The sequence below is a fragment of the Homo sapiens genome, chromosome 2 (genome assembly GCF_000001405.40).
Source record: "Homo sapiens chromosome 2, GRCh38.p14 Primary Assembly".
Classification (NCBI taxonomy): Eukaryota; Metazoa; Chordata; class Mammalia; order Primates; family Hominidae; genus Homo; species Homo sapiens.
This window is the reverse complement of record NC_000002.12, coordinates 130,468,599-130,493,742: the sequence shown is the minus strand read 5'-3', so window position 1 is coordinate 130,493,742 and position 25,144 is coordinate 130,468,599. Positions and strand designations below refer to the sequence as shown.

The window sequence follows — 25,144 nt, the reverse complement described above, 5'->3', positions numbered from 1 at the left end:
TGTGTTCCCAGTGGCAGTGGGAATATAAAGCAGAGGCAGAAGAGAGGTATCGTCAATATGATTTAGTAATAATTGAATGAGAAAGGCTTGGGGGACAGAGAGAAATGTCAGATAATTTCCAGGTTTCCAGGTTGTACAGTAGTATTTAACCTGGATGTGAGGAAGAAGGAGGAAATTTTCTGGTGAATACTGAAGAGCAAAGAGCAGCAGGTCAGCAGGAATGACTAATGTTTTTCTATGCACGTTTAATGGAATATTCATGTAGGATATTTTGAGTAGGTAATTGGATAACCAGCATTTATAACTCGCATCCTACTAGTTTGACTCTCACTAATAAGACTTGTCAAAGATCCAAGAATCTGAAAGTTGATGATAAATGTCCATGTGTATCACCATCAATGATCAAAAGTTAGCATCCACAGACATAGAATGGGACAGATGAACTTAATGGATAAAGATGAATATCGGAGTTGTTCCTTTTAGGGAATGATACTCTCCATGACCTGTGTGAGTCACAGCTGCCAGAAAAGAGCGAGCAAGGAGCATATGAAGGCAGCACAGCAAATTCGGTCCTAGAGTGCCCTGCTTGACTTCATGTCATAGTTCTGACTTCTAAAAAATCATTTTCTGCAAAATACACTTTGATTTTTTCCCCGCTTGCAGCCTGCAACCAAACAGAATCCCTTTAGCAGGGCATTTTTGTGTTCTTCCTTTAAACAAAGCAATATATAAATAACAAAATGAAAAAAGAGAAAGAGTGTTTTTTGTATAGGCTAGTATTTAACATAAACTTGAGAGTGAGTACCAGGAGTTAGAATTTATGGACTGGGTAGGAAGACTAGATAGAAATCTAAAGATTGCTGACTCAAACGCAATGTGGTTTCTTTGCTTTATTGTCACAGCTCTGAATTCACAATTATTAGTTAAATTCATAGGCACTATAACTTTAGAAATCACCTTCCCAAACCAAGTATTAAGTGATTTATTATAATTTCTCTGACTTCTTATAGAATTGACTTTCCAAGTGTTCATGAGAATTATTGAGAATTTGCTACATAGTATCATCTCAGCTGTGTCCACATGAGCTATCTGTCACCTTGTCTTAATGAATAATGGTTCACTAGGAATATTGGTTTTGGCATTTAAAGTGATCTATATCTAAATGCAGATAGGATCAGGGACCTCTCTTGAACATTAATGTCCAGGCATCTTAAAATTACACATAAGGCTTTCATAATCTGACTTCTGCCCCACTCTCCATCTTTAGGCCTTTTCCCTGTGTGCCCTTTCTCTGGCATTACTGAGCTGCTGGCAATGCCCTACTCACTCATCCTTCTATTGTAGGCAAATATTTTCACTCTTTCAGGCCTCGCTCCCGCTCTTGCTGCTGTGTGGCATGCCGTCACCCTTTCCTGCCCTCTACCCCTTTTAATCTGGCTAGTCTCAATATTTAAGTCTCTGCTTGGGCATGTTTTCTAGAAAAGCCATCCCTGACATGCTTTATTTTAATTGTTTTTAAACCCTAATGCCTAGCATGTATTTAGCAGGACTCAATAAGAAATTTCTGAGTAAAATGTGAGTAAGATGATGTGCAAGACTGTCCTCTGCAGTCTTGGAGCAGACGGGACAGACATGTGGAGGAATAATGTAGAGTTCAGGTGGTAAAGATGCAGTAGAAAAATCAGTGAAGTACTAAGGCAGCCTCAAGGAAGGAGGTACCTGTTTATCTGGGGAAAGACATGCAGAATCAAGGAAGACGTTCTCATAGCATTGTTTTAAAAGATAAAAATAAGGATAAGTGTGGTGGCTCACACCTCTAATCCCAGCATTTTGGGAGGCTGGAGCAGGCAGATCACAAGGTCAAAAGATCAGGACCATCATGGCCAATGGTGAAACCCCGTCTCTACTAAAAACACGAAAATTAGCAGGGCATGATGGTGCATGCCTGTAATCCCAGCTTCTCCGGAGACTGAGACAGGAGAATCGCTTGAACCAGGGAGTGTCAGAGGTTGCAGTGAGCTGAGATTGCGCCACTGCACTCCAGCCTGGTGACAGAGCAAGACCCTGGCTCAAAAAAAAAAAAAGAAAGAAAAATGAAAATAAATATGTCTGAATCGTGGAGGGAAACATTTTAGATATTGGGAAGAGATTGTACACTAATAAAGGTGTCAGTAGTAATTTTTGAAATCATTTGTAAGGTACTATTGTTGCAGAAAACAGGAGGCAGGAGAGACCAAGTGGGTGAAACAGGAGGATTTCATTTAGGTTCGCACCAGCTCAGCGGATTTGCATCCGAAAGCTGAGCCCTGAACAAAGACAGGGCTTGGCTTATGTAGGCAAGCTTACAGAAGCAGAACAAAGGCAGTTAATCATATAGTGACAGTTTTGCAACCTCAGCGTAGCTTATGACCTTGCAGCTGCATTGAAGGACAACAGGAACTTGCAAATAATATGCATTTGTAAAAACAGCTCTGAGTGAATGCTGAGGGGAAGGGGAGACAGTAAAGGATTTTGTTTTCTTAACCTTGCTGTGGGATGTCTGGAGCCCATACCTGTGGGCTCTGGCTTCTCAGGCAGGGTCACCATGACCTTTCCTGGGCCCTGCTTGTTACTATCCTTAGAGTCAGACTAGCTAAGTGCGGGAAAACTTGTTTCTCTTTAAAACTAAATTTCCTTTTCTTTACATTTACTGCTTCACTATTAGGAAGTGGAGAACAACATACTGTGTTACCTTATATGTTTCTACTGTATTTTAAAGTTGTGTTTCTGGTGGTTTTGTTCATTTATGTTGGGTGGATGAATTTGTGAGTGAATGACATCAGGTGTCTCCCCAAGTGGTTTGTTGAAGTTTGGGAGAATTATTTCCTAAATAACTATTTCATGAAAAACTAAACACTCAATTTATGAAATAAAATGTTGTCTTAAATCTATTTTTATAAAGGCAATAGTTTTTAACTGTTCTAAGTGGTTCATTTTAACTGAATATATGGATTTCTCAACAGAACAAGACTTAAAGCTGACATCAGAGGAAGAGTCACAAAGGTTCAAAGGCAGTGAAAATAGCCAGCCAGAGGCATGGGAAATTTTAAATTTAAATTTTTGATTTAATGTTGTTTTCTTTGCTTTAATAATATTAGATAGTCCAAATGAAATTACCTTTCAGACTAGGTTTTGAGAATCAATAGATTTTTTAAAGAATTTTTTAATAGATTGTTAAAATTTATTTTAATAAATTCAGTAATCTCATTAACAGAAGAATGGATTCTAATTTAACATTTGATATTTAACTTAAAAAACATAACCACTATAAAATTTAAAATACTCTTATTTTATAATATTTTTATTTAAAATATTCTCATCTGCCTTTTTGATTAGCTTATAGCTAATCTTTCCTTTTGGAATAGAGGCAAAAACAAATTTCAGAACTTTGTTCTTTTATTTTTACAACACCCGAACATGATGAAGAAGGTACATCAATTATTGGATTATGTTATTAAGCAATAGAATTATGAACAATGTAACTCTGATGGTCCCTGAGCTGGATTCATGGTTAAGGAGTAATCATGGCCAGTGATTGAAAATCTGCAGTTTTATATTGTCAGTCACTGATACCAAGGTTAAAAATATATTCTGCCTTATGGTCTCTCATTGACCTCAGCGTTTCTGTTCAGGGAGGGAACCAGGTCATAAAAGCAACACAGCTGCCTATTACAAGAATCATATCTTGCAGAATGGAACCTTTGGTGTTAGTGCACAAACACAATAACATTCTAATTTATTTCAGTTGCAGAAAATTAGTACATATTATTAAAAAAATCTTTATCCACTGTAATTAGTACACATTAGAATATATTAGAACTGGACTTAAGCAGATAATCTGGATACATAACACTATCATATGACAGTATATAATCTCAATTAAAATTTGAGAAATTGCATCTCTTTCTGTTTGGTGTTGATTTCGGCTCCTAATAATTTAAATGGTGCCTACAATCCAGTTAGGAATCTTTTAGAAAAGCACTTCAGTGCACTGTAGGGGCTCACTAGTTAGGGTTTCATGAGGTAAACTCTTTTCAAGTGAGGAAGATTTTGGAACACTACAAATCATCTGCTGATTCATTTTTGGTAGATTTAACACATAACAAGTTTAGTCCAAACAAATGGTGACCAAGTTAAGTTTGCTGGTTCACGTTTTTTTTCTTCGTTGGGCTAAGGTGAATTATTTTTCACATGTTAGTCAGAAGCCAGTAATGTGGCAGTAGCTAAACATAGATTAAAAAGTTAATTCTTAATTTTAATTATTATTTATTTAACAGTTAAATTTTAATTTTAATTATTTTCTAATTTTTCATCGTCCATACTTCATTAGTTAAGAATAAAATTTTTTTAAAACATGCGCTCCAAAAGAGGAGACATCACAGAAACACAACAAGCAAATTAACCTTCTGTTTTTGCCTCTGCAGAAAATGTCTCAAGAACCAGAAATAAATAAGGATGGTGATAGAGAGGTATACCTTCATATTCAAATGTTTCTGTTGAATTAGATTTTTACATTATGTTGTTTAACAAAATGTAGTAAGTGTAGGCATACATGATCCTATCATGTAAGTAGCATAAATCATGAGTGAAAAAGTTAATATTTAACTCAGAAAGAATTCTGTACTTTGAGTTTTCAAGAGATACAAAGCCTAGAGATATTCTTTGATTATTATGGAACAATCCTGAATGGTGCCATAAAATGCTAGGTAATGCCACTTTAGGAGCTTTGGACCAATCATTTTATCTTTCTTGGTTTTAGTCTGATTATCAATAGATAATGTGGCTAAAGAAGATAGCTTCTTATTCTGTGTATCTTCCAGCTAGAAAATTGTATGGCTATTCAATGTGAAATTTGGGGAGCATCTCATTTTCTGGAATTCCATGCTTGCACGTCAGCAGTTTCACTCTGCTTCTTGTGTTGTGGCAAACTTTGGCTCCCATTTTCAGTGAGCACCATCATGTTTTTGATATCCCAGCAACCAAATGAAAAAAGAATGCTCAAAGGCAGTGGGGTAGAAGAATATCTTAGCGCAGAAAAGGGCAAACTTCCTTTCTGTTCCTGAAGCCGCACAGTGTGTCATCCTCTAAATCTGACTGTTTAATGTAAAATCTAGGTGGTAAAGACAGAAGACACATTTTGCATCTTTGTCTTTTTATTTGCGTGTTCCCATGAGTCAAATGGGGTAAATACATACATAAGATTCTGAAGAGTGATTGAGAATAAAAGCATAAAATGAAGGAGGGCCCTTTTTGAATTTTGGAAAATTCTGTTTCATTCATTGAAACAGAAATGAAGCAAACTTTACAAAAATTTCTGTGATATATTAATGATATGATAATTACATCTTAAAGTTATATGGTAATATTTCTATATATATGATCAAATTTAAGTGTGAAATATTTTTAATGACTAAAATAATGACAAACTGAGTCAATTGATAGAATCAATTAAAAAGGTTCTTTTTATTCAATAAAGTGATAACTATCCTTAATATCCCACTCAAGGTTGAAGAAGAAATGAAGAAGCATGAAAGTAATAATGTGGGATTACTAGAAAACCTGAGTAATGGTGTCACTGCTGGCAATGGTGATGATGGATTAATTCCTCAAAGGAAGAGCAGAACACCTGAAAATCAGCAATTTCCTGACAACGAAAGTGAAGAGTATCACAGGTAAGCCTATGGCAACATTGAACAGGAGATAACTATGTGCTGTCAAACTAACCCTAGTTTGGGCTAATATTCATGATGAACAAATTTTATAGTTTTACTAGGATATTCAGCCTTGCCCGTTAATCAGAAAAATGAAAATCAGCGAACAATGAGTTACCATTTTTCCAGGCATTAATTTATTTGAAAAATAACCAGTATTGGCAAATGTGAGGGAAAAGGCATTTTCTTTTCTTTTTAGTGAACTTTTCTTTTAGTTTCAGGGGTACATGTGCAGGGTTATTATATAGGTAAAGTGTATCATGGAGATTTGGACTGCAGATTATTTCATCAGCCACATAATAAGCAAAACACCAAAAGTTAGTTTTTTGGTCGTCTCCCTCCCGTGACGCTCCACCTTCAAGTAGACCCTGGTGCCTGTTATTCTCCTCTTTGTGTCCATGAGTTCTCATTATTTAGTTCCCACTAATGAGTAAGAATATGTGGCATTTGATCTTCTGTTCCTGCATTAGTTTGCTTAGGATAATGGCCTCCAGCTCCATCTGTGTTGCTGCAAAAGAAATGGTTTCATTGTAAAAGACATTTCATACACTGCTGGTAAATACATTTTGAACATTAATTTAGTAGCATATTCACAAACACATGTATAACAATAAGGATATATAATATATGTAAAGGATATTTGTGTAGATGTTACATATATACTTATGTATAAGGACATTTATTACAGCATTATTATATCAAAAAGATGGATCCTTATCAATAGGAAATTATCATTATCAAAAGTAAATCATTACCAATAGGAAATAGCTCAATTTTCATACCCAGAAATTAATGTAGTATGCAACCATTTTTTACAAGTGAGGTTAGATCTAGAGTATACTGATTATTTCACAATTAAAGTGTATTTAAAGCATCAGTGATGACATCTTAAGAGTTCTTGTTAAAATTCTTGTAATATTTCCTGTGTTGCAAATGGAAGCTACATGCTATATTGATGCTGTACCTTGTTAGCAACAAGATTGCTAGTTATTAAATTTTTATGTCAGTGCCTGAGTGCTGAAATATTGGACCCTCAATCTGAATATTGCCAAGGGATTGTACATGGGGATCTGTATTTAATATAAACGTTTCAGTATATTGGGTAAAACTTTTATTAAAATGTATCAAAGGATCTTTCATCTGCTAAACCAGGAGTTGGCCAGCTTTTTCTGCAAAGAGCCAGTTAGTAAATATTTTAGGCTTTGTGGACTATATAAATTAATTTATTTTTGAGACAGGGTCTCACTCTGTTTCCCAGGCTGGAGTGCAGTTGTGTGATCATGGCTCACTGCAGTCTTGACTTTCTGAGCTCTAGTGATCCTCCCACCTCAGCCTCTCTACTAGTTGGGACCATAGGTGTGCAACATCACACCCAGCTAATTGACACTGTGGACTGTAAAGTGAATAAGCATGGCTGTGTTCCAAAATACTTGACTTACAAAAACAGGCAGTGGGCTGGATTTGGCCCAAGGTGCTAGTTTGCTGACCCTTGTGCTAAAAGGAAGGTGCTGCAAGTGAAGTGACTCTTATTTGTAAAAGTGCCCTGCGTGTGTGAAATTATCCTTCCTTTGAGAAAAGGATATATTTCAGTATTCACCTCACCATATTTTTCCACAGTGACTTCATATAATTTTAAAAATTTCATTTATAAAATAAGATTATTGTCTGCATTTCTCCCACTTTATTCCTGTTAATAGAACCCAGTATTTTGCTGTGATCAATTACTTTGTATATTTGATGAGTATCAGTTGTCCTAGAATTGGCTGATTTTATCAAGCAAGAAATACTCTCCTTGAAACTTTTAGTATTTCTTGGTCTTTATGCATAAGCATGAATAAAATGATAATCAGCTTATGTGTAATCTAGAAATGTTCAAGGCGACTTTTAGTTCTATAGTTTTAAGAATTTAACACCTCAGTCTGGCATTTTTAATGCCACATGTGTATAATTTTTATAACCTTTAAAATATATTATTGTTATATAAAATTTGAAAACTACACCTGTTATATAAAACTTGAAACTATTTGTCTATTACTTTTCCATGACTGTGGAAGAAAATTACAACATTCTCAGTCATGACTCCTAAGCATGATGTCCTTAAAAGAACTGTCCACACTCACGAACTCAAATTTTCTTTTCATTCACTCTTAATCTCACACCGGCGTCTTCAATTTCAGCAGTCCTCCAACATTGTTTTTCCTCAAGATTATCACAATTTTTTTTCTGTAAATTATGCATTTTTTCTTACACCTCATTTTATTTAATCTGTCAGCAATATTTGAGCCAGTGGAGGGCGTCTCCTCCCTAACGGCGTCTTCACTTGGCTTTCAGGACCTCACTCCCTCAAGCTTTTCCTCCTGCATTTCTAGTCCATTCATCATGGTCTGTTTTGCTTGCTCCTCCTCATCTTTCTCCTTTTGGACATTGTTGTTTCCCAGGGCTCAGTCCTCAATCTTCTTTCTCCTGACTTTTTCTTTTTCTTTTTTTGAGACGGAGTTTGACTCTGTCCCCCAGGCTGGAGTTCAGTGGTGTGATCTCAGCTCACTACAACTTCTGCCTCTTGGGTTTAAGTGATTCTCCTGCCTCAGCCTCCTGAGTAGCTGGCATTACAGGTGTGTGCCACCATGCCTGGCTAATTTTTGTATTTTTAGTAGAGACAGCATTTCCCCATGTTGGCCAGCCTGGTCTCAAACTCCTGATCTCAGGTGATCTGTCTGCCTTGGCCTCACAAAGTGTTGGGATTACAGGTGTGAGCCACTGCACCCGGCCCCTCGTGACTTTTTCTATTGTGTATATGCTAGTGATTTCCAAATGTATGTCTCCAGCTCAGATCTCTCTCCTTAATTCCAGATTTCTATATCAGCCTGCCTACTTGACGTCTCTATTTGGTTAGTTATTGGGTATCACACACGTGTCAGATCCAAAATTGGGCTACTGATGTCCTTCCTGAAATCTACACCTCATGTAGTCTTTCCTACTTTGGTTAAGGGCAACTTTTCCAATTGCTCTGCCAAAAATGTCAGTGTCATTCTTGACTCATCTGTCCCTCTGACACCTCATATCTAATCTTTCAGTAAATCTTGTCAGGTCTACCTGAAGAATATGTCCAGAAGCCAGTCATATCTTGTACATCTGAGCCACTGTCATCTGCAGTCTAGATGAGTGTCATAGACTGGGAATTGATCGTCCTGGCTTTTAAAAACTTCCCTTTTCATCAATTCTTAACTCAGTGGATGTATTTAAAACATAAGTCAAATTGTGTCATTCCTCTGCCCCAGCACTTCTGATTGCCTCCTTTTCACTCTGAGTATGGGTCAAAGTTCCTCCTGATTATCTCCCTTGCTCTGCTTCAGCCACACTGAATTCTTGCCATCCCGTATCTACCCCTAGTGCTTAAAGACTCCAGACACACCTCTGTGCTTGGCAGTTCCCTGTGTCTGGGATGCTTTTTCCCCAGATATCCTCCTAGCTTACTCTTTCCATTCCTTCAGTTCTTTATTTAAAACCACCTTTCTAAGAAGAAGAAAAGGGTAAAAAGAAACACATTAAGGAACATCCACTTTCTGAGGAAGAGCCGTGTACTACCCAGACACATCATGCTTAAGATGCAATTGGGAGCATACAAGGAATGCTCTCTAAGGTAATCAAGGCAAGGTTCAATGAAACAAAGTGATTTATCATCTCTAACTTCAAACCTATTTGTATCTTGACATCAGCGCTGTTAACCTTATGTCATCGTTTCTTAGAGTCTTTGATATACAAATAAAAGGTTTTTTGTATTAGAAAAAAAAAACCCTTTCTCAGCAGGGACTCTTCTGGCCATCTCAACTTTCCCACCACCCTCCCCATCAAACACATAAACATTTCATTTTCCTGCTTTAGTTTTTCTCCTCTAACATACCGTATATTTTGCCTTATCTGTCTGTTGTTATTGTGTGTTTTTCTCACTGTCATGAATAGGGTTTTTATTTTTCACTACCATATCTTCACTGCTTAGAAAAAGGCTTAGCATATTGGATGTAGCTACCTAATAAATACTTGTTAAATAAGTGAATGGAGTTTATCCTGTGTATATTGTTTGATTGATTCTCACTTTAAAAATGTTTGCCGTAGGTCGGGCATGGTGGCTCACACCTGTAATCACAGCACTTTGGGAGGCCGAGGCAGGCGGATCACGAGGTCAGGAGATCGAGACCAGTGAAACCCCATCTCTACTAAAAATACAAAAAAATTAACCGGGTGTGGTGGCATGCGCCTGTAGTCCCAGCTGCTATGGAGGCTGAGGCAGGAGAATGGCATGAACCCAGGAGGCGGAGCTTGCAGTGAGCCGAGATCGTTGCACTGCACTCCAGCCTGGGTGACAGAGCAAGACTCCGTCTCAAAAAAAAAAAAACAAGTTTGACATGGTTCTTTCTAACAGTTTTGCCTGGTAATTGTCTGCATTTTTAAAATCGTTTTGGCTCTTTATAATAAGCTACATTGTTTATATTAATTTTTTTATTTAGGGAGAAAAGCCCAATATTGTGGTTATTCACTATTTATGCTTTAATAGTAATCATAATTGTAATTATGGTAAACTGAGTCAGAGGAATTGCAAACTTTACTATTTTATTTTATTTTATTTTATTTTTTTGAGATGGAGTCTCACTGTATCGCCCAGGCTGGAGTGCAGTGGCGCGATCTCAGTTCATTGCAACGTGGGTTCATGCATTTCTCCTGCCTCAGCCTCCCAAGGAGCTGGCCCTTGCATAAGGCGGCCACACAAATTTTTGAAGCATTCTATATTTTGCGCAGTCACTGGAAGGTCATTTGACTGTTTGCTGAGTAGCTTTAAGGAAATGGTGTGAATCAAAGCAGAATGGGTGCCACAAAAACATTGAAATTGTGATTTGCGCAATAAAAATAGTCATGTAAGGTGGTCTGTGAGATGACACCAGAGCCAAATAACATGTGGGGTGTTGTGTACAAAATATATTGTTAGTATGTATGTTAAAAATTAGAGAATGCCAACTTGCAACTTCTTCGTGGAACCTAAAAAAAAAAAAATAAAAGTAGGGTTTTCATCTCCCATGTCAGCTGGAGATGAACATGTATATAAAGCATCATCGTAACAAACATCTGGCTGAGAGTTTGAGTCTGTAGAGAAGGATCATTGGTCCAAGTCAGGTCTTAACATCCATTGGTTTTTCTGCCCTTGGCGTGATTGATCAACTCCGTAATAGTGGACAATCACATTATCTACTTTAATGAGATATTTATGAAAAAATTTAGTTACAAACTATGACATAGTTGAGATGCCCTGAATTAGAAGCCATAAAGAGTAGGACAACTAAGAAGCAAAATTAGGACTTAATAACGTTTCCTGAAAACTACAACATTTGCATATTAGAACCTATGAACAAAATTCGCACTGGGTTTTATTTGGGATTCCAAGATAATTTCAGTCATAAAGTTTAGGAACAAATTATTCCATTGTTTTACTATTTCTTTGAGCATTTAAAAAAATGTTATCTTGTTAAATCATTATAACAACCTAGTAAAATAAGGCAGCGTAGTCCTCACTTTGTAGAAGAAGACATTAAGCCTAAGAGAAGCAGCTTGTTCAAGAGCAAATAGCTGTTCATTATGGAGCTAGGACTTATTTAGAGTTGGGACACTTTCTATTATGTCAGGCTAATGCAAGTTAATTTACTGGGTCACAGTGCCCTCGATTTATGAGTATTTCATCTTACTTTTTTTTCTTCTTTAATTAGAAGCTTCATGAGAAGTTTGTAGAACGTACGCATAAGTGGATGGGATAATACTGTTAAGTTCTGATATTCTGATATTGTTTGAAATACTCTAAGAATTTTACATTTGGTAAGTTTCCAGATCAGTATTTTAAAACAGTAATTTTATTTGTTATATTTTTATACATAGAATTTGCGAATTAGTTTCTGACTACAAAGAAAAACAGATGCCAAAATACTCTTCTGAAAACAGCAACCCAGGTAAGACTTGTGATAGTGAATTACTTTAGGTCAGTTGTCCACAATCTTTTTGACACCAGGGACCGGTTTTGTGGAAGACAATCTTTCCATGGGCTGGGGGAAGGTGGGGATGGTTTCAGGATTGTTCGGTCACATTACACTTATTGTGCTACTTTATATTATTATTACATTGTAATATATAATAAAATAATTATACGACTTACCATAATGTAGAATCAGTGGAAGCTCTGAGCTTATTTTTCTGCAACTAGATGGTCCCTTCTGGGGGCAAAGTGAGACAGTGACAGATCATCAGGCATTAGATTCTCATAGGAAGCACACAACCTAGATCCCTCAGATGGGCAGTTCACAACAGGGTTCATGCTCCTATGAATATCTAATGCTATCACTGATCTGACTGGAGGCAGAGTAGAGGCTGCAATATGAGCCATAAGGAGTGGCTGTAAATACAGATGAAGCTTCCCTGGCTTGCCTGCTGTGCACCTCCTCCTGTGTGGCATGGTTCCTAACAGACCGTGGACTGGTACCAGTCTGTGGCCTGGGAGTTGTGGAGCCCTGCTCTGGGAGGTCCTACCATAGATTTAAAAAGTAAAAGTAAGGAATTTTTGTTCACAAAAGAACAGTGAAGCACAGATCATGTTACATATGCTTGTGCCAACAAGGTCTCACTATTACTGACTTCATTCCTCCTGTTTTGAAGTTGAAAGAGATGCATTTACTTTGTTGGAACAAGATGTGTTCTTCCACCAGCTGGTTAATTGTCATGATAACAGTAATTTTGTTAGAAGAAGATGCTCTGCTACCATTTGCCAAAAGATTGTCATAATGTACAATTTTCCCAATGCAAGGGTCAGCAGATTATAATAAAAATATAAAAATGTTTCACAGTAACAAAAATGCTAGTATGCTACCTGGATGTGGACACCTAATACATGGTACAATCCAAACTGTATGAGGACACCTTTAATTTGGCTACCTATTTATCAAAGAGCTTCTGTAAGTTAGGTTTTATAAGTTGCAGGAGACAAGATGGAATAGATGTAGTTTTAATCTTTAAGGTGCTCACAACAGAAGTGTTTCTATTTCATTTCTGTGGTTTTTCAACAGAATTTACAAAGAAAACATTTTTATTTATGTTTTCACTTGTCCACTTAACAAATAACTGTCAAATGTCTTTTAGATACTAAGCAGTTTTTCTAAGGCTACAGAACACAAAAACACAGACAGGAGCTTATTATTATTATCATTGTCATTTTTATTATTTTGCTGCTTTATTCAGTGCTTACTGTGTGCTAGATGCCCACTGGAATCTTATAATTATGATTTATTATATGTGATATTGATTATGTGCCAGACATATGTGATGAGGAGTGAAAGCTTTAGAAAGAAAGGAGGCAGGATTTAATGTAAGCATGCAGAGTGAGAAGAATTTTTCAGGGAAAGAAGCAGAAGAATGACATTTGGCAGAAGGAACATGGAGTGAGATTGTGTGTTTGCCAGAAGGAACATCTAATGAGATTGCCCGTTTGGGAGGAAGAGCAGCAAGTGCAGAAGACAAGATGCTTGAGTGAACATGGCAGGGTTTCTGAGCAGTTCACTTTTGCTATTACCAAAAGTGTGAGATACCAGAGGTTGGGAGTGAGGTGAATACTTAGCTAAGGCAAGTTTATGATAGACTTTTTAATACTATAGAAATGAGTAGCTCTTATCCTGTGGGCCATGGGAATTGACCAGGTAGAATGCTTTGGACTGCAAATACTAGATGAGCAGTGGCTAAAACAGTAGGAACCAGAGTTGTTTTTTTATTCATTGATATCCTAGGATCCCACCTGTCCCTCTTTCAGCTGTGCTGTTGACAGTGTTTTACTCACGTCTCCTTTCGTGGTTGGCTAATCCGCAGCAGCTCCAAACATCTTGTTCTCACAACACAACATCGCAAGGGCTGCTTTTCTTCACGTGTGTCTTTTAAACAGGGAGAAAACTTAGAAGCATGCAAGGGGCTTCCTGTAACATTTCATTGGCTGGGTCACACCACATGCTCATTCCCAAACCAGGCACTGGGAAGGTAAATACCTGATTAGCTTAGAATAAACATTTCTGTTTCTGAGGCTGAGGAGGGGGATTGGGATATTAAATATCCCAATAGACTTATATTTTTTCTGCCAGAAAGAATGAGGAATGGCTATTGATAGGGAGCCAACAATGTGTGCTGCAGGGGCTCATTGGAGAAATTTGAGCAGGGGAGTCACAAGATTAAATTTGAGTATTAAGGCGTTCTGGTTATGGTGTAAAATGGGTTAGCAGGCTTTTTCTTTAAAGGACCAGGTGGGAAATATTTTAGACTATGTGGTCTCTGTCATATCTACTTAACCCTGCTGTTGTCTGCTGTTGTAGTGTGAAAGCCACCATGATTATATGTAAGCAAACAGGCATGACTGAGCTCCTATAAAACTTTATTTACAAAACCATAATGCAGATTGGATTTGGCCTGTGGCCTATAGTTTCCTGGGATTGATGGGAGATAATCATGCAAAGAAACCAGGAGACAAAGGAAGCTTTTGCAGTAGTCAGCTATAGTTTCCATGTTACACATCCTTGGAGTAGCATCAATGTATTATAAGGTTTTCACCCGTCCATGGTGAAATAAATAATGTTAGAAATCTCAGTTACTCATTTTACTATGTTGGCCTTCGTTATGCCTTTTTCACTTGTTTTGCTTAATTTTTTTTTCCTGTAAGAAATAACATTAATAGTTGGCAGTTTTCTTTTAAATAGAAGTCATTTTGTAAATGTTTATGTTCCCAGTGGCAGTGGGAATATAAAACAGAGGCAGAAGAGAGGTATAGTCAATATGATTTAGTGATAATTGAATGAGAAAGGCTTGGGGGACAGAGAGAAATCTCAGATGATGTACAGGTTTCCAGATTGTACACTAGTATTTAACCTGGACATGAGGAAGGAGTAGGAAATTTTCTGGTGAATACAGGAGAGCAAAGAGCAGCAGGTCAGCAGGAATGACTAATTTTTTTCTATGCATGTTTAATGGAATATTCGTGTAGGATATTTTGAGTAGGTCATTGGATAATCAGCATTTATAACTCACATCCTACTAGTTTGATTCTCAGTAATAAGACTTGTCAAAGATCCAAGAATCTGAAAGTCAGTAATAAATGTCCATGTGCATCATCGTCCGTGACAGAAAGTCAGCATCCACAGAACACAGAATTGGGACAGATGAACTTAATAGATAAAGATGAATATCGGAGTTGTTCCTCTTAGGGAATGATACTCTCCATGACCTGTGTGAGTCACAGCTGCCAGAAAAGAAAGAGCAAGGAGCATATGAAGGCAGCACAGCAAATTCGGTCCTAGAGTGCCCTGCTTGGCTTCATGTCATAGTTCTGACTTCTAAATAATCATTTTCTGCAAAATGTGCTTTGTGTTTTTCCCTCTTGCCGCCTGCAGCCAATCAGAATTTTTTAGCAGGACATAATGAAAAGAAGTAAGAGAAAGAGTGTTTTTTTGTATGGGATAGTATTTAACGTAAACTTGAGAGTGAGTACCAGGATTATACTTAGAATTTATGGACTGGATGGAAAGACTGGATAGAAATCTAAAGATTGCTGACTCAAACACAATGTGGTTTCTTTGATTTATTTTCACAGCTCTGAATTCACGACTGTTAATTGTATTCATATGCACTATAACTTTACAAAGCATCTTCCCAAACCAAATATTTACTGATTTAGTATAATTTGTATGACTTTATTATAGAACTGACTTTCCAAGTGTTCATGAGAATTGTTTAGTATTTGCTACATTGTATCATCTCAGCTGTGTCCACATGAGCTATCTGTCACCTTGTCTTAATGAATAATTGTTCACTAGGAATATTGGTTTTGGCATTGAAATGATCTATATCTAAATGCAGATAGGACCCGGGACCACTTTTGAACATTAATGTCCAAGCATCTTAAAATTACACATAAGGCTTTCATAATCTGACTTCTGCCCCACTCTCCATCTTTAGCCCTTTTCCCTGTGTGCACTGTCTCTGGCATTACTGAGCTGCTGGCAATGCCCTACTCACTCATCCTTCTATTGTAGGCAAATACTTTCACTCTTTCAGGCCTCGCTCCCGCTCTTGCTGCTGCATGGTATGCCGTCACCCTTTCCTGCCCTCTACCCCTTTTAATCTGGCTAGTCTCAATATTTAAGTCTCTGCTTGGGCATGTGTTCTAGAAAAGCCATCTCTGACAGGCTTTATTTTAATTCTTTTTAAACCCTAATGCCTAGCATGTATTTAGCAGGACTCAATAAAATATTTCTGAGTAAAACAAAGACTGTTTTTACAAAGATGATGTGCAAGACTCTCCCCTGCAGTCTTGGAGCAGAGGGGACAGACATGTGGAGGAATAATGTACAGTTTAGGTGGTCAAGATGCAGTAGAAAAATCAGTAAAGTACTAAGGCAGCCTCAAGGAAGGAGGTACCTGTTTATTTGGGGAAAGACATGCAAAATCAAGGAAGACTTCACATAGCATTGTTTCAAAAGATGAAAATAAGGCCAGGTGTGGTGGCTCACACCTGTAATCCCAGCACTTTCAGAGGGGATCACGAGGTCAGGAGATCGAGACCATCCTGTCCAATGGTGAAACCCCATCTCTACTAAAAATACAAAAATCAGCTGGGTGTGGTGGTGCTTGCCTGTAATCACAGTTACTCAGGAGACTGAAGCAGGAGAATCACTTGAACCAGGGAGGCGGAGGTTGCAGTGAGCTGATCATGCCACTGCATTCCAGCCTGGTGACAGAGGAAGACCCTGGTTCATAAAAAAAAAAAAAGAAAAAAGAAAAAAAGAAAATAAATTTGTCAGAATAGTGGAGGGAAACATTTTAGATATTAGGAAGACGTTGTACACTAATAAAGGTGTCAGCAGTGATTTTGGAAATCATTTATAAGGTACTATTAGGAAGTGGAGAACAGTACACTGTGTCACCTTATATGTTTCTACTGTATTTTAAAGCTGTGTTTCTGGTGGTTTTGTTCATGGATGTTGGGTGGATGAATTTGTGAGGGAATTTTTGACATGTTTGTTTGTCTTCAATCTGGTGACATCTGGTATCTCCCCAAGTGGGTTTTTGAAGTTTTTGAGAATTATTTCTTAAATGACAATTTCACAAAAGATGAAACACTCAATTTATGAAATAAAATGAAATGTCTCAAATCCGTTTTTAAAAGGCAATAGTTTTTAACTGTTCTAAGTGGTTGATTTTAACTGAATATATGGATTTTTCAACAGAACAAGACTTAAAGCTGACATCAGAGGAAGAGTCACAAAGGCTTAAAGGCAGTGAAAATGGCCAGCCAGAGGCATGGAAACTTTTAAATTTAAACTTTTGTTTAATGTTGTGTGTTTTTTGCCTTAATAATAGTAGATAGTCCAAATGAAATTACCTTTCAGACTAGGCTTTGAGAATCAGTAGATTGTTTTTTTAAGAATCTTTTGGCCAGGCAAGGTGGCTCACGCCTGTAATCCCAGCACTTTGAGAGGCTGAGGCAGGTGGATCACGAGGTCTGGAGATCGAGACCATCCTGGCTAACATGGTGAAACCCCGTCTCTAGTAAAAATACAAAAACTTAGCTGGGCGTGGTGGCGGGTGCCTGTAGTCCCAGCTACTCGGGAGGCTGAGGCAGGAGAATGGCATGAACCCAGGAGAGGGAGCTTGCAGTGAGCCGACATCCACCACTACACTCCAGCCTGGGTGACAGAGCAAGACTCCATCTGAAAAAAATATATATATATATTTTAATAGGTTCTTAAAATTTATTGTAATAAAATCAGCAACCTTCTTAACAGAAGAATCAATAGATTCTAATTTAATATTTGATATTTAACTTCAACATAACCCACTATAAAATTTAAAATACTCTTATTTTAAAATATTCTTATCTGCCTTCTTGATTAGCTTATAGCTAATCTCTCCTTTTGGAATAGAGGCAAAAACAAATTTCAGAACTTTGTTTGTTCTTTTATTTTTACAACACCCTAACATGATAAAGAAAGTAACATCAATGATTGAATCATATTATTAAGCAATAGGAATTATGAACAATGTAACACTGATTCCCTGAGCTGGATTCATGGTTAAAGAGTAATCATGGCCTGTGATTGAAAATCCACAGTTTTATATTGTCAGTCACTGATACCAAGGTTAAGGACATATCCTGCCTTGTGGTCTCTCGTTGACCTCAGTGTTTCTGTTCAGGGAGGGAACCAGGTCATAAAAGCAACCCAACTGCCTATTACAAGAACCATATCTTGCAGAATGGGACCTTTGGTGTTAGTGCACAAACACAATAACATTCTAATTTATTTCAGTTGCAGAAAATCAGTACAGATTAAAAAATTCTATCTGCTGTCATTAGTACACATTAGAATATATTAGAACTGGACTTACGCAGATAATCTGGATACATAACACTATCATATGACAGTATATAATTTCAATTAAAATGTGAGAATTTGCATTTCTTTCTGTTTGGTGTTGATTTCGGCTCCTAATAGTTTAAAGGGTGCCTACAATCCAGTTAGGAATCTTTTAAAAAAGCACTTCAGTGCACTGTAGGGGCTCACTAGTTAGGGTTTCATGAGGTAAACTCTTTTCAAGTGAGGAAGATTTTGGAACACTACAAATCATCTGCTGATTCATTTTTGGTAGATTTAACACATAACAAATTAAGTTTAGTCCAAACAAATAGTGAGAAAGTTAAGTTTGCTGGTTCATGTTTTTCTTCTCCCTTTGTCTAAGGTGAATTATTTTTCACATGTTAGAAGCCAGTGATGTGGCAGTAGCTAAACATAGATTAAAAAGTTAATTCTTAATTTTAATTATTATTTATTTAAACAGTTTAATTTTAATTACTTTCTAATTTTTATTGTCCATACTTGATTACTTCAGAATAAAATTATTTTAAAAACATGCACTCCAAAAGAGGAAATGTCACAGAAATACAACAAGCAAATTAACCTTCTGTTTTTACATCTGCAGAAAAGATCTCAAGAACCAGAAATAAATAAGGATGGTGATAGAGAGGTATACCTTTATATTCAAATGTTTGTGTTGAATTAGATTTTTACATTATGTTGTTTAACAAAGTGTAGTAAATGTAGGCATACATGATCCTATCATGTAAGTAGCATAAATCATCAGTGAAAAATTAAATAGTTAACTCAGAATTCTGTACATTGAATTTTGAAGAGGTGCAAACCCTAGAGCTATTCTTTCATTATTATGGAATAATCCCGAATGGTGCCATAAAATGCTAGGTAATGCCACTTTAGGAGCTTTAGACCAATTATTTTATCTTTCTTGGTTTTAGTCTGATTATCAGTAGATAATGTGCCTAAAGTAGATAATTTCTTATTCTCTGTATTTTCCAGCTAGAAAATTTTATGGCTATCGAAGAAATGAAGAAGCACGGAAGTACTCACGTCGGATTCCCAGAAAACCTGACTAATGGTGCCACTGCTGGCAATGGTGATGATGGATTAATTCCTCCAAGGAAGAGCAGAACACCTGAAAGCCAGCAATTTCCTGACACTGAGAATGAAGAGTATCACAGGTAAGCCTATGGCAACATTGAACAGGAGGTAACTTTGTGCTGTCAAACTAATCCTAATTTGAGCTAATATTCATGATGAACAAATTTTATACTTTTATTAGGATATTGAGCCTTGCCTGTTAATCAGAAAAATGAAAATCAGCAAACAATCAGTTACCGTTTTTTTTCCAGTCATTAATTTATTTGAAAAATAACCAGTATTGGCAAATGTGAGGGAAAAGGCATTTTCTTCTCTTTTCAGTGAACTTTTATTTTAGCTTCGGGTACGTGTGCAGGTTTATTATATAGGTAAACTGTATCATGGAGGCTTGGGGTACAGATTATTTCACCAGCCACATAATAAACAAAATACTCGAAAGGTAGTTTTTTGGTCGTCTCCCTCCTGCCATGCTCCTCCCTCAAGTAGGCCCCAGTGTATGTTATTCTCCTCTTTGTGTCCATGAGTTCTCATGTTTAGTTCCCACTAATGAGTAAGAATATGTGGCATTTGATTTTCTGTTCCTGCATGAGTTTTCTTAGGATAATGGCCTCCAGCTCCATCCGTGTTGCTGCAGGGGAAATGGTTTCATTGAAAAAGACATTTCATATACTGTTGGTAAATACATTTTGAACATTAATTGAGTAGCATATTCACACACACATATATAACAGAGTAAGCATATATAATACATGTAAAGGATATTTGTATAGATATGTTATATGTATACTTATGTATAAGGACATTTATTATAGTATTATTATGTAAAAAATTTGGAACTAGTCTAATTGCTTATCAATAGGAAATAGCTCAATTTCCATATCCCCAAAATAATGTATTATGCAACCATTTTTAAAAAATGAGGTTAGATGTAGGGTATACTGATTATTTCACAATTAAAATGTATTTAAAGCGTTTAGTTTGATGACACATCTTAAGAGTTCTTGTTAAAATTCTTGTAATATCTGCTGTGTTGCAAATGGAAGCTACATGCTACATTGACACTGTACCTTGTTAGCAACAAGATTGCTAGTTACTAAATTTTTGTTGTCAGTGCCTGAGTGCTGAAATATTGGACCCTCAATCTGAATATTGCCAAGGGATTGTACATGGGGATCTATATTTAATATAAACATTTCAGTATATTTGGTAAAACTTTTATTAAAATACATCAAAGAATCTTTGATCTACTAAACCAGGAGTTGGCCAGCTTTTTCTGCAAAGAGCTAGTTAGTAAATATTTTAGGCTTTGTGGACTACATATATTGATTTTCTTGAGACAGGGTCTCACTCTGTTTCCCAGGCTGGAGTGCAGTTGTGTGATCATGGCTCACTGCAGCCTCGACTTTCTGGGCTCTAGTGATCCTCTGACCTCAGTCTCTACTAGCTGAGACCACAGGTGTGCAACATCACACCCAGCTAACTGACACTATGGACTGTAAAGTGAATAAGCATGGCTGTGTTCCAAGATACTTGACTTACAAAAACGGGCAGTGGGCTGGATTTGGCCCACAGGTGCTTATTTGCTGACCCTTGTGCTAAAAGGAAGGTGCTGCTAATGCAGTGACTTTTATTTGTAAAAGTGCCCTGCATGTGTGACATTATCCTCCCTTTGAGAAAAGGATATATTTCAGTATTCACCTCACCGTATTTTTCCAGTGACTTCATATGATTTTGAAAACTACATTTATAAAATAAGATTATTTTCTGCATTTCTCCCACTTTATTCCTGTTAATAGAACTCAGTATTTTACTGTGATCAATTACTTTGTATATTTGATGAGTGTCAACTGTCCTAGAATTGGCTGATTTTTATCAAGCAAGAAATATTCTCCTTGAGAGTTTTAGTATTTCTTGGTCTTTATGTATAAGCATGAACAAAATGATAATCAGCTTATGTAATCTAGAAATGTTCAAAGGGCCTTTAAAAACCTTGGTCTGACATTTCTAAATGCCATATGTGTATAATTTTTATAACCTTTAGAATATATAATTGTTACATAAAATTTGAAAACTCCACCTGTTATGTAAAATTTGGAAGCTACTATTTCTTGTCTATCACTTTTCCATGACTGTGGATGAAAATTACATCATTCTCAGTCATGAGCGTTAAGTATGTTGTCCTTAAAGAACTGTCTACACTCATGAACTCAAATTTTCTTTCCATTCACTCTTGATCTCAATGCCGGTAAGTCTTCAATTTCAGCACTCCTCCAGAGTTGTTTTTCCTCAAGATTATCACTAATTTTTTTCTGTACTAAATCTAGGCATTTTTCTTACACCTCATTTAATCTGTCAGCAATATTTGAGCCAATGGAGGGCATCTCCTCCCTAATGGCGTCTTCACTTGGCTTTCAGGACCTCACTCCCTCAGGCTTTTCCTCCTGCCTTTCTAGTCCGTTTATCATGGTCTGTTTTGCTTGCTGCTCCTCATCTTTCTCCTTTTGGACATTGTTGTTTCTCATGGCTCAGTCCTCAATCTTCTTTCTCATGGTTTTTTTTTTTTTTTTTTTTTTTTTTTTAAGACAGAGTCTCGCTTTGTCCCCCAGGCTGGAGTTCAGTGGCATGATCTTGGCTCATTGCAACCTCTGCCTCATGAGTTCCAGCACTTCTCCTGCCTCAGCCTCCTGAGTAGCTGGGATTACAGGTGTGCGACACCACGCCTGGCTAATTTTTGTATTTTTAGTAGAGACAGGTTTCCCCATGTTGGCCAGGCTGGTCTCAAACTCCTGACATCAGGTGATCTGCCCGCCTTGGCCTCATGACATGTTGGGATTACAGGCGTGAGCCACCGTGCCTGGCCCCTCATGACTTTTTCTACTGTGTATATGCTAGTGATTTCCAAATGTATGTCTCCAACTTAGATCTCTTTCCTTAATTCCAGATCTCTATATCATCCCACCTACTTGACATCTCTATTTGATTAGCTGTTGGGTATCACACACTTGTCAGATCCAAAATTGGGCTACTGATGTCCTTCCTGAAATCTACACCTCATGTAGTCTTTCCTACTTTGGTTAACAGCAACTCTTCCAGTTGCTCTGCCAAAAACCTCAGTGTTATTCTTGACTGATCTTTCTCTCTGTCCTGACACTTCACATCTAATCTCTCAGTAAATCTTGTCAGGTCTATCTGAAGAATATATCCAGAGGCCAGTCTATCTTATACAACTGAGCCACCGTCATCTGCAGTTTAGATGAGTGTCATAGACTGGGAATTGATAGTCCTGGTTTTTAAAAGCTTCCCCTTTCATCAATTCTTATCTCAGTGGATGTATTTAAAACATAAGTCAAATGTTGTCATTCCTCTGCCCCAGCCGTTCTGATTGCCTCCCATTTCACTCTGAGTATGTGGCAGAGTTCCTCCTAATAACTGAAAGGCAGTAAACCATCTGGCATGTTACCTCTCCTGCTGAAACTTCTGTTTCTTATCTCTATTGCTGTGTTTCAGCCACACTGAACTTGTTGTTATTCCTTACCTATCCCTTAGTGCTTAAAGACTCCAGGCACACCTCTGCACTTAGCAGTTCCCTGTGTCTGGAATGCTTTTTCCCCAGATATTCTTCTAGCTTACTGTTTCCATTACTTCAGCTCTTTACTTAAAATCCCCTTTCTAAGAAGAAGAAAAAGGGTAAAAAGAAACCCATTAAGGAATAACCACTTCCTGAGGGAGAACCATGTACCAGCACAATTCCTAGCCCAGAGAAAATGAAGAAAATGAAAAAAAAGAGAGATAATGAGGACTAACAGAAAGGAATTAGGATTGTATCATCAGGACGCGTCAGGCTTGAGATTCGATTGGGAACATACCAGGGATGCTCTCTAACGTAATTGAGGGAAGTTTCAATGAAACAAAGTGATTTATCATCTCTAACTTCAAACCTATTTGTGTCTTGACATCAACTCTGTTAACATCATCATCTTTTAGAGTCTTTGATGTACAAATAAAAGTTTCTTTATATTAAAGAAAAATCCTCTTTCTCAGCAGGGACTTTTCTGGCCATCCCAACTTTCCCACCACCCTTCCCATCAAACACATAAAGATTTCATTTTCCTGCTTTGGTTTTTCTCCTCTAACGTACTGTGTATTTTGCCGTATCTGTCTGTTGTTATTGTGTGTTTATCTCACTCTCATGAATAGGGTTTTTATTGTTCATTACCATATCCTCACTTCCTAGAAAAAGGCCTAGCCTATCAGACGTAGCTACCTAATAAATAGGTATTAAATGAATGAATGGAGTTTATCCCGGGTATATTGTTTGATTGATTCTCACTTAAAAAATGTTTGACAAGGTTCATTTTAACAATTTTGCCTGGTAATTATATGTATTTTAAAAATTCTTTCGGCTTTTTATAATAAGCTACATTCTTTATATTAATATTTTTTCACTTAGGGAGAAAAGCCCAATATTGTGGTTATTCACTATTCTTTTACTGGTAATCATGATAATTGCAATTATGGTAAAATGAGTTAGAGAAATTACAAGCTTTACTGGTATTTTATTTATTTAGAGACAGAGTCTCGCTCTGTCACCCAGGCTGCAGTGCAGTGGTGTGACCTCGGCTCACTGCAACCTCTGCCTCCTGGGTTCAGGCGATTCTCCTACCTCAGCCCCCTGAGGAGCTGGGATTACAGGTGCGTGCCATGACACCCGGCTAATTTTTGTATTTTTAGTAGAGACGGGGTTTCATCCTGTTTGTCAGGCTGGTCTTGAACTCCTGACCTCAGGCAGTCCACCCACCTCATCCTCACAAAGTGCTGGGTGGATTACAGGTGTAAGCCACCACATCCGGCCACTAGTATTTTATTTTTTTTAGGGTGGTAAATGTAATGGACTCACAAATTCTTTCCAAGGGATTATGGACCTTCGGTATTTGAAATAAAAAGACAGTTGGAATTTTTTGCTTCCGATAGTAAGACTATACTGGTCAGGCACTGTCTATTCTGATGGAGCAGCTGTTGCTGCTTGGCTGTCTTTCAGAAGCAGGCTGCTCACACTGATATTGGTTGGTGAGCAAGGCCAGTGGTCATTGATCGATTGACTAGATTTTGAACTGGCTCTGGCTGGCTTCTTGTTACCATGGCTACAGGTCAATTCTTTCCTAAGTTTGAGTCAACTTTAACCAGAAATTTTCTGTTCAAAAGTTGCCTTCCATTAACTATGTTCAAAAAGAAACTTTTTAATATTCCAGAATTGTGGATTTAAAGTTTTGGTTATGATGACTTGGTTAATAATAGCTCTCACGAAGATTTTTTTTTTTGATACATCATCTTAACCAGAAGAGTTCTCTGTATAATTTATTTCTTAAAAATAATTGTTTTGTTTTTGTTTTTGGTATTTTTAGAAGCTTTTGCTCAAGTCCTAACATAATCTCCAGTAGGAGATTTTAGTCTCTTTGTCAGTTCATGTATGTATATGATAGTCATATTCTGTGTTTTTAAATTCCTTTTCTTGTTCACTTTTTTCTCTGTACAATACTAGTGATATTGTTATACATTTTTATCTCATTAAAAAGTTGTTACAATTTTCTGCTGGCAAATCTAGCTTTTTCTATATTTTGACTGAATAGGTTAAAAGTGAAGAAAATTTACGAGATCATTTTGTTTTCAAACAAAATCATAAGTAATAAAAATTGCTATTTTGAATTATAAATAATGACATTTAGATATTTTAAAAATAAGGATACCCCCCCCCCCAATAGTTTGGCTTTGTGTTTCTATGCAAATCTCATGTCAAATTGTAATTACCAGGTGTTGAGGAAAGACCAGCTGGGAGGTGATTGGCTCATGGGGTCGGTTTCC

General features: G+C 37.1%; 1 protein-coding gene across 6 annotated transcripts in view; it reads left to right on the top strand.

Moving 5' to 3' along the window:
* Nucleotides 1–25,144, top strand: part of POTEI (POTE ankyrin domain family member I) — a 50,253-nt gene that overhangs the window by 15,965 nt on the left and 9,144 nt on the right. For 3 of the 6 annotated variants that reach the window (XM_024453046.2, XM_017004732.3, NM_001277406.2), the window contains 7 exons: nt 3,003–3,073; nt 4,464–4,508; nt 5,545–5,711; nt 11,670–11,740; nt 17,042–17,112; nt 18,792–18,836; nt 19,184–19,365. In XM_024453046.2, coding sequence (XP_024308814.1) covers nt 3,003–3,073; nt 4,464–4,508; nt 5,545–5,711; nt 11,670–11,740; nt 17,042–17,112; nt 18,792–18,836; nt 19,184–19,365 — 652 coding nt within the window. Of the gene's footprint in view, nt 1–3,002; nt 3,074–4,463; nt 4,509–5,544; nt 5,712–9,863; nt 9,930–11,669; nt 11,741–17,041; nt 17,113–18,791; nt 18,837–19,183; nt 19,366–25,144 lie in introns of all 6 variants that reach the window. The other 3 variants (NM_001371926.1, XM_017004733.2, XM_017004734.3) reach the window with 3 other exon arrangements.